Here is a 10,607-nt window from a genome sequence, read left to right as displayed (position 1 = left end):
ATTTTATAGTTATAAAAATGATGTGCCTCTCTTTGTAAAAAAAATAAAAGATTTATTATGTCTACTCAATGTAGCATAACCCTTTAACTTATTTGGAATCATCTAGGAATTTTTATTTTCAGAATCAGATAGCTTTGAGGGAAGTATAATAAAGGGTTTAGGATATAGATAATTAAATGGATCACTCATTCCCAATGAGCAACACTACACTATGTATTACTAGATTTTTAAAAATTATTTATGGATTCTGCAAATGGAGTAGACTATTCAATTTTAGAATATTAGCTAGCTGACCTCAGAGTTGGTGGCTCATCCAGTAGTTGTACTGTACACTTTGCACATGCAAAGAACTAAAACACTCACCTTGTATTGGTTAGTGCCGGCTAAGAATATTTTTAAAATTTCTACTCCAATGTGCTGTCTGTATGGTTTCAGCAGTTCCAATTCATATTTTGCTAGTTACTTAAAGAAGTCATGTGGAAACCTGAGTAGGCTGGCACCATATTCCTATTTATTTCAGTGATGTTTTATCGTCCCTTATAGATTGGTATCCCAAGAACCTAGAGCTACAATAGGTTACTGCAGGCTGAAAGGAAACAGAACATTAATCTCTTCTACCAGACCTGTGAAAGTGGATACTTTCCTTAGAAATGCTTGGTAGGCTGAGCAAGCTTTGTGGCTATGATGAGCAGTTACATGAACCACTGGGTGGGAGTTTGACTTGCTGACATGTTATGTTTCTTCTACACATTAGATTCTGGGTCTCTGATTTTATGTATAGGTGTTCCAGAACAAGAGGATAGTGCCTCAGCAATTCCCAAGCTTGGTTCAGTTTACTGATTGCAATGCTCATTTCATGAACCTGAACAGCTGAGATGGAGTGATAAGATAGGTAGTTCCAACTTCAGGGAGGCCAAGATCTATCTGGTAATTATGGGAGTGCCACAGGCAAAACACATAAAAGAATGACTTCTTAAACAATTATTCTGGGAACACTGTTCTTATCTTAAGGTGCCCTGTAATTCTTCTTGAGACTTATCTTCATCCAGCCATCATCTTCATCATCATCATCCCCATCATAAGCATTACCACCATCATCACTACTACCATCACCGCCACCACTATTACAATAATCAGCATTTCCTGAGACTTCTAATGTGTCAGCTTCCACTTAAACCTCTGCCTGTGATTTCTTCCTTTGATTTTGAAGTATCTGGACATTTATCTTTCTTTGGAGCCCAGATATGTATTTTGTAAGTGTTTATTTCTATATTGCCCAACATATATGTGTTGGAAGTATAGAGAATAATCAGTTAATTCCAGCTTAGCCTGCCATGTTGCTGGCAAATCTCCCACAGAAATTCATTTATCCATTTGACAAACACTTAGCTGCAAAAGTCCTTGCCTTCATGAAGCTTAGAATTCTACAGAAACCTACTCTGGACTTGCTATATGCCAGGAGACTATTCTAGGCTTTACATATATGAATGCACTGAGTCATCACAATCACCGAGGGAGGGTGGTGGCATTATTATCTCCATTTTACAAATGAGGAAACTGCAGCACACAGAGGTTAAGTCAGTTGTCCAAGGTCACACAGGTAGTGAACAGTGGAGCTAGGGTGCAAATTCAGGCAGCATGGGCATTGAGTTTATGGTTTGACCATTATTCTGTACAGCCTTTCTGTATGTGAATCTATGCCTAGAACACAGTGGTCACTCAAAAGTTTTTTATTGAATCATTAAATGATCACAGAGTACTACATCATCTGCTGCTTGTGTATCTTCCAGTAGATTCTAAGCTCCTTGATGTTCAGAGGAATATCTTCCTTGACTTTGTAGGTATGGAGCCAAGCACAGAGCCTGCACAGAGTATATGCTCAGTAAGATGTCAAACACTGGAATGAATGAATTGTTAAATGGTCCCTAGAATGACAATGCTTCTGGACTTTGGCATACATGGGAGTGAGAATCTGGGAATCTGGGAAAGTGACTCTGAGATTGCAGGTGGCCTGCCCAGCCCTCACAGGTGGTCTGCACCCCTCCTTCTGGCCACACTTCATAGGGGCTGTCAGAACATAAGTGAAAGCCACAGGGCTGTTGGTAGGTCACTAAGGTCTTAAAGTTTGGAAGCTTTTCTGGAGCTTCATTTTAGAGAAAACTCTTGACAATTAGCAAGGAGTGATTTACCCTCCAGGGAACCCCCGGAAATTGTCTTCAATACATAGAGTAACTCAGACCTGTGGAGTCTCAAGTCATCATCTCAGATTTGATGTCCCACAGAGTGTTATAAAGAGTTACATTCTGCCATCTGACATGAATGAGCAAGGTACTTGGAGGATTATTTGAATATATCCTAATTCCTGTCATAAGTGAACAGAAGCATCGATTTTTAGAAGTCTTACTGTAAGTGTTTACACTAAAACATTTCAGATACCCAAAGTTAAGAATGCGGAAGGCTATTATATATGATAAAATGGATGCTGGGTAAAGAATTGCTCTCCTAATTGGTCCCCAATATTCTCACCTGCTAAATGAGAAGGTTGAATTAGATGATCTCTAAAGGTCTTTCCACATTATTTGTGGAATGACATATCTATCATTTATTGTATGCCTACTGTATACCAGCACTATTTTGGGACTCTACTTTTATTGTTTCTAGTAGATAATTATCAAAATAGAGTGACCATGTATTAACTACATTCCTACAGAGACATGCTATTTATTCATTCATTTATTATCTATTGATAGTTTACTGTATGCTAGGCATCAGGCTGGACACTGAGTACCTTGACAGGCGTTGGGGCATAAGTTGCCCAGTGTCACAAAGCTAAAGAGTGGTAGGATAGGAATCAAAACCTCAGGTACATTAAACTAAGGTTTGAGCTCTTTCTCTAGCTCTCATACATTTCTTCTAAGATTCTTTGTCCATAAAATACATGTGAATAGCAAAGACATGGAATCAACCTAGATGCCCATCAACAGTGGATTGGATAAAGAAAATGTGGTACATATACACCATGGAATACTACACAGCCATAAAAAAGAACAAATCGTATCCTCTGCAGCAATATGAAGGCAGCTGAAGGCCATTATCCTAAGCAAATTAATGCAGGAACAGAAAGCCAAATAATGCATTTTCTTGCCTATAAGTAGGAACTAGACAATGGGTACTCATGGACAAAAAGATGGCAACAATAGACATGAGGGACTACTAAATGGGGGAGGAAGGGAGAGGGCTGAGGGTTGAAAAACTATTAGGTACTATGCTCACTACCTGGGTGATGAAAGCAATCATACCCCAAACCTCAGCATCACGCAATATTCCTATGCAACAAACCTACATATGTACCACTGAATCTAAAATAAAAGTTGAAATTATAAAAATAAAATATATGTGAATTACTGACATTTTTTCTAATTCCTACACCAGTGATTCCCCTGGCTATGTATTAGAATCATTCAAACCAATTAGATAAATATTTCTGGGGGAGGGGGAGGGAGAATCAATGTTTTATTTTCAAAATTCCCCAGGTTATTGAAATGTGCTGCCAGAGTTGAAAACCAAATCCTTATAGAGTCTAATTTTATGAAAAATGTTTTTATTTAGAATTGTGGTAAAATACACATAAAATTTACTACCATAATCATTTTCAAGTATACAGTTCAATAATATTAAGTACACTCACATTGTTGTATAACTAATCTCCAGAATTATTTTCATTTTGCAAAACTGAAATTCTGGTACCCATTAAGCAGCTCCCTCTGCCCCCTCCCTTCTTCAGCCCCTGACAACCACCTTTCTATTTTGACCTTATGAATTTGCTTATTCTAGGTACTTCATAAGCAGAATTGTATGGTATTTATCTTTTTGTGACTGGCTTACTTCATTTAGCATAATGTCCTCAGATTTGTCCATGTTGTAGCATGTGTCAGAATTTCCTTCCTTTTTGTCTTTGTGTTTGCAACTATAATAGAATACCAGAGGTGAGGTAATAATAATGAACACAAATTTATTGTATTACAGTTCTGGAGGCCAGGAAACCCAAGACTGAGAGGCCAGCATTTGGCTAGGCCTTCTTGCTGTGTCATCCCATTACAAAAGGCTGAAAGACAAGAGAGGGCAAGAGGGAGCTGAATTTGTCCTTTTATAAGAGCACCAATCCCACATATTAGAGTGGGACCTCATGGTCCAACTACCTCTTATAGGTCCCACCTCTTAATATGGTGTATGATGGTGATTAAATCTCAACGTGAGTTTTGGAGGGGACAAACATTCAAACCATAGCACTTTTTAAGGCTGAATAATATTCCATTGTATGTATATACAATGTTTTCTTTATCCATTCACCCCTCAATGGACGATCAGGTTGCTTTCAACTCTTGACTATAGCAAATGATGTTGCTATGAACATAGGTGTACAAATATCTTGTTGAGATCCTGCTTTCATTTCTTTTGGGCATATACACAGAAGTGGAATTTCTGGATCATACAGTAATTATATTTTTAGTATTTTGAGGAACTTCCATACTGTTTCCCACACTGGCTGCACAATTTTACATTCCCATCAACAGTGCACAAGGATTCCACTTTCTCCACATTTTCACCAATGCTTGTTATTGTTTCTTTCTCTCTCTTTCCCTCTCTCTCTCTGTCTCTCTCTCTGTGTGTGTGTGTGTGTGTGTGTGTGTGTGTGGTAGCTATCCTAATGAGTGTGGTTTTCTATTTTAATTTTTGAATCCATTTGTATTTATGTGTGGGGATCTATTTTATCACACAGTTTTAGTTATTTGTGAATTTTTCAATGATTTTACATCATTTTTCTACTCTCATCCGAAGAATCTCTTAAGATTCAGTACTGATCACTCTTCTTAGAACTGTGGGAGTGGGTTGATGCTGAGGAGGCATTCGACAGGATCTCTGCTTTCAAGTTGCTTACAGTCTAGCTGGGAGCTTGCTTACAGGCTTGCTAGATTTTTGTCTTGGCTCAACTCATATCTGCTGCTATCTATTGGCTCAAGTCCTTGAAAGATAGAGATGGCTGAAAATGCAGGATAGCCAAGTGGAGGGTGAGAAGATATTCCATATAGAAAGAATATATGGGGTGAATTATGGAGCTGGGAATGGGCATGCTATTTTGGAACAAATACTGGCCTGATTAGAACTCAAATTTATGTTGGAAAAAGGTGGGGGAAAATATCAGATCAGTCCAAGCAGGTATGGGATAGACTTGGAAGTCAGGTGGGGCATTGAGAATCACTGGGGCAGGTTTCAGGGTTCTCCAGCAGGGGAGTGCACATCAGGCTCTAAGAAGTGTTTGTGTTGATGGGAATAGAGGAGAGATGCCACACTGAGTGAGTGGTCGCCCAGGCAAGAGCATCATCAAAGGCACTAGACTTATCTTTAAGGGAGAAACTGTAAGTGTTGGAGACAGATTGAATATGGGAACCAGAGAAGAGGTGTCTTTCAGAACTGTGGAATATTCTGGGAGATGAAGTAGTTATTTCTTCAAAGAAGATTGTAAGCTGGTTGTGGTAGCTCCCAGCTGTAACCTCAACTGCTCAGGATGCCAAGATGGGAGGATCCCTTGAGGCCAGGAGTTCAAGGCCAGCCTAGGCAACATAAAGAGAGCTCATCTTAAAAAATAAATAAATAAATTAGCTGGGTATGGTCACGTGAGCCTGTAGTCCTAGCTACTTGGGAGTCTGTGGGAGGAAGATTGCTGGGGTCCAGGAATTCAAGGCTGCAGTGAACTGTGAGACTGCCTGGGTGGCAGTATGAGACCCCATCTCTACAACAAACAAACAAACAAATAAACAAACAAAGAAGGTTGTATTTGTGAGGAAGATGGACAGCCCCAGTAATAGTATTCATTATGTTTGAGTGCAAGGGAGAGAAAACCAAAATATCAGCAACTTAAACAAGACAGAAGTTTATATTTCTGACACTAAAACCAAGTCCAAAAATGAGCAGACTAGTATTCATATAAGTGGTCGGGTTTCCCATGGTCACGTATACCCTGGTGTGGCCACTGTCCAGGCTTGTCTTCCTGCTGACATCTGCCCTTCTCTTCCTTTCACTTTCTTCTGACTGTTAAAATCCAAGCCTTCTTCCTTTTTGATTCCCCCCAGCCAGCCAGGAGCAAATGCCACTGTCCATCTACAATGCATCTTTGTCTGTTCACTCGACTCCTGTCCCAGCCCTGGTCTCAGCTCTCTCCTTGCGATTCTTCCCCAGCCACCTTGAATGTTCTTCGTCTCTTCTCAAATCCATCTTTCTCATGGATGTCAGGTTAGCCCTTCTAAAGAGCACATCATTCCTGACCCACAGCCCTTTTATGATGTCCTTCGAGAACAGTCAGAACTCTTTAGCTTGACATTCAAGGCTCTAGGTCAATTAGCTAAGATCTTTTCTTTTTTTTTGGGAGGAGGGGACGGAGTCTTGCTCTGTCACCCAGGCTGGAGTGCAGTGGCACGATCTCGGCTCACTGCAACCTCCACCTCCCGGTTTCAAGTGATTTTCCTGCCTCAGCCTCCCAAGTAGCTGGGAATACAGGCACGTGCCACCACGCCTGGCTAATTTTTTGTGTTTTTAGTGGAGATGGGGTTTCGCCATGTTAGCCAGGATGGTCTCAATGTCCTGACTTCGTGATCCGCCCGCCTCGGCCTCCCAAAGTGCTGGGATTACAGGCGTGAGACACCGCGCCCAGCCACTTAGCTAAAATCTTAAAGACAATTGCTTAATTTCATTTTAACATTCTTATTTTAATTTCATCTAACTTTTAAAACACTTTAAGGGAGACGACTTTTAGGTAAATTTCTTTTTAGGAGAATTAATGACTAGGAGAAATTACTTAAATCGAAGTGTTTTCACATTCAAAGTCAATAACAAGCTGACTGCACTTCACCTTTTCAAATGTAGTCCAATTTTATCTTAATAGATCAAGACAATTTATCCAATTTACCAAAAATCTATGAGATTTCTGGATTATCTTTGAGTCCCCACGAGTCAGTTAGGAAGTTAGATCTGAGAAGGCTTGACTTAAAACCCAGGAGTAGGCCTGGCTGAGGTCTAGATGTGCCTAAGGGCTTGTGGTTTTGTCAGGTCTGCACTGCTCTGATGCTTTCTTGACAGCAAAGAGACCCAACTCTACACTGTGTGTCTCCAGGAGGCAGTGAAGGATGAATACTGGAAGTGGGTTATGGTCCTTAGGAGCATCTGTCTGGAACTGGCTTAGGATGGATACAGATCTGAGTATCAGCCCCCATGCTTACTCTCTTGTGATCTTGGCATTTTGCCTTATATCTCTGGCCTCGGTTGCCTCACCATAAAAAGGGGCTGATCACAAGATTTCATACCCTCCTCATGTTGTTGTTATAAAGATTAAAGATGCCAGGACACTTTTCAATTATAACTATCTTATGGGAATTTTAATACTTCCTCTATTTGTTTTCTAGGGCTGCTGTAACAAATTAGGGTGCCTTAAGATGACAGAAATGTATTTTTTCACATTTCTGTAGGCCTGATACCTAAAATCAAGGTGTCTGCGACCCACACTCCCTCCAGAGGCTCTAGGGAAGAATTCTTTTCTGTCTCTAGGGAAGAATTCTTTTTTGTCTCTTCCTAACCTTTGTGTTCTGGCAATCCTGGGCAGCCCTTGGTTTGTAGAGGCATCACTCTTTTGCTGTGGGAGGTGGATTGGAGGAAAGAATACCAGATACCCAGGTTCTAGTCCCAGTTCTGTGGGATTTTAAGCAGGTCCTTTCCCCATCTGGCTCGCAGTTTCTGCATGCATGAAACAAGGCATCAGGCCATGAGAGCTCTAAGACCACAGGCCTGTGAAGGGGCTTGGAGAAGAGGGAGGGCTAAGGACTGCTTAAGAAAAGAGGGCTTAAGAAAAATTGCCTGCCTTTTATCCTGCTTATAAAAATTGTACATTCAGTTGGGATGATGGTGATGGTTACACAACAATGGGAATGTACTTAAGCCACGAAACTGTACAATCAAAAATGGTTACAGGCCGGGTGTGGTGGCTCACGCTTATAATCCCAACACTTTGGAGGCCGAGGTGGGAGGATCATGAGGTCAGGAGTTCGAGACCACCCTGGCCAACATGGTGAAACTCCATCTCTACTAAAAATACAAAAATTAGCCGGACATGGTGGCGCATGCCTGTAATTCTAGCTACTCAGGAGTCTGAGACAGGAGAATCGCTTGAACCCGGGAGGTGGAGATTGCAGTGAGCTGAGATCACACCACTACACTCCAGCCTGGGGGACAGAGCGAGACTCCGTCTCAGAAAAAAAAAAGAAAAAAGAAAAAAGAGGTTACAGTGGTATATTTTATGTTATGTATGTTTTACCACAATAAAAAACAACAATGAAAGTTGTCATTTGTGGTACAGGGTTTCACAGTTTATAAACTTCTTTCATCTTTCTATGTGATCTTCAGAATAGCTTCACGAGATAGGCATGATAAGTGTTTGTATTCCTATTTTACAGATGGGGAAACTGAGATTCAAAGCAGAATGCCCTGCTGCAGTTTCCTCATCACAAATGTGCTGTTTTTTTCCATCATGCCACCATGGCTGCCTCTGGGCTTAGCACTGGCTCACTCTAGAACTGAAGATGTGTTCCTGGGCTCTGTGTCACCCAATGCAATGCCACACACTGTGGGTGTTCTGTGAACAGCTCTTGGTGTTGATGACTCAGATGTTGGGGAGAGGAAGGAAAAACTAACAAACAGGGGGATTTGACCAACACATATGCCAGGCACTGACCTAGGCTCTGTGAGCTCAGCAGTGAACCAAACAGATACAGCCACTGTGTTCATGAAGCTCAGAATCTCATGGGAAGGCAGGCACTTAGTCAATAAGTACGAAGCCAAAGCATGCACAAGCATGTGATGTGTTGCAGAGGAAAGGCTGCAGTGCTTTGGATGGAAAGAGTGGAGAAGCTCACTGACACTGTGGTGGTAGTCAGGGAAGGCTTCCCAGAGGAGGTGAGGCAGTCACAGAGACCTGTCAGAGGAGTGGGGGTGGGGGCAGGGCTGGCACTGAGGTTGGACCCAAAGGTTACAGGAAAGCTGGAAAGAAGATCATGACAAAGGTTCTGTTTTACTTCCTTTGTTGTGAAGTGAACTTCCTCAAAAAGCACCTTGAAAAAAAGAAAATGGTTTCAGGAGCTGTTATTTTTTGCCTCCTTGGCCTCAAAACTGAGCTGAACGGAGGAAGTTTAATGTGAAACTTTTGATGCACTGTGCGTTAATTAATTAATTAACGCACAGTGCATCGAATGTCAAAGGAATTTAATGGAGAAGCAAAGGCGCCCTTGAATGGACACCAAGCCTTTTGTTCTGCTCATGAAGCATGCCCACTTGCAGAAGCCCTCAGGGATTTAGGAACCTGCCTTCTGTCCCATTAGATGCTATTAGGGTGAATCCGAAGGATGTGAGAGTGAGTGGGCTAAGTAGCTAAGCTATTTAGAGTGAGTGAGTTAAATAGCTAAGCAGTACTCCATTGCCATTCTCTTCCCTCTCTACTCACACCCCTGCCTGGGCTTCTCACAGCTCTGAGAAGCTCTGGAGTACTCCTTTTCCTCCTCACTTGAGACTATCTCAAGAAATCATGGTGTAGAGACACTAGCAGCGTAATCTGTGGACTCTTACATTGTCTTGGTGTTTTTTTCCTTATTAATTCCATGGCCACAGTTTTCTCACCTGTAGCATGGCGGATGATACTGCCTTCTTCATAAGATTAGTCCTTTGAATTTTTTAGAATTTGCATTTCATAGATGCAACAACAGGACCCAAAAATTTAAGTGATTTGTGCAAAGTTACACAGCTAGTAACAGCAATCAGAAATGGAGCTCAGGTCTTCTGTTTCTAAATCCAGTGTTCTTTCCACCAGCAAAGCTTCCCAGCCATGGCATATCGATGGGTCCTCAGTATCCAAAATGTCAGTGTCCTGGGATGACCAGGTAAGGCCTGGGGCTGCAAGGAAAAAGGTTGAGAGGCCCAGAATATAGGACCCTGTAGTTAAAAAAAAATTTGGATGTGCTAATGTTGCTATCACATCATTGAGCATAGGTTTAATTTTTTTATTATTATTTTTGTTTCAGGTTATTTGTTGGAAGCAGAATTATCTACTAGAATTGGCCTAGGAGTGTCACAGCTAGTAGTGTGTGTTAAATGGCACAGCTGTGGTATCATTAGAGCTCTACTTCCCTTCCTGCTGGGCAGCTCAGCGTCATGTGTTCCTGATCTCAGCCCTAGACTCCTGGGGTCACTGTCTAGTCATACTGTCTTTCTTAGTGTCAGAGTCAGCTTATGACACAGTCTCAAGGAGTCACTGCCACCTCTCTTATTTCCATGTCCCCAATTTCAAATTTATTTTATTTTATTTTATTTTTATTTATTTATTTTGAGATGGAGTCTCACTCTTGTTGCCCAGGAAGGAGTGCAATGGCATGACTTCGGCTCACTGCGACCTCTGCCTCCCGGATTCAAGCAATTCTCCTGCCTCGGCCTCCCGAGTAGTTGTAGTTGGGATTACAGGCATGCATCACCACACCTGGCTAATTTTGTATTTTCAGTAGAAACGAAGTTTC

The 10,607-nt window shown here is 41.4% G+C and overlaps 1 annotated feature.

The window, feature by feature from the left end:
* Positions 9,210–9,269: an enhancer, noted in NCBI's record as "active region_28713". NCBI's record gives its function as "activates an Ori minimal core promoter by ATAC-STARR-seq in GM12878 lymphoblastoid cells {active_cell/tissue: GM12878}" and the evidence as "EXISTENCE:reporter gene assay evidence [ECO:0000049][PMID:35858748]".

The sequence above is a fragment of the Homo sapiens genome, chromosome 9, assembly GCF_000001405.40.
Source record: "Homo sapiens chromosome 9, GRCh38.p14 Primary Assembly".
Classification (NCBI taxonomy): Eukaryota; Metazoa; Chordata; class Mammalia; order Primates; family Hominidae; genus Homo; species Homo sapiens.
Note: the sequence above shows the minus strand (reverse complement) of the source record. Positions and strands in the feature narration are given on the sequence as shown.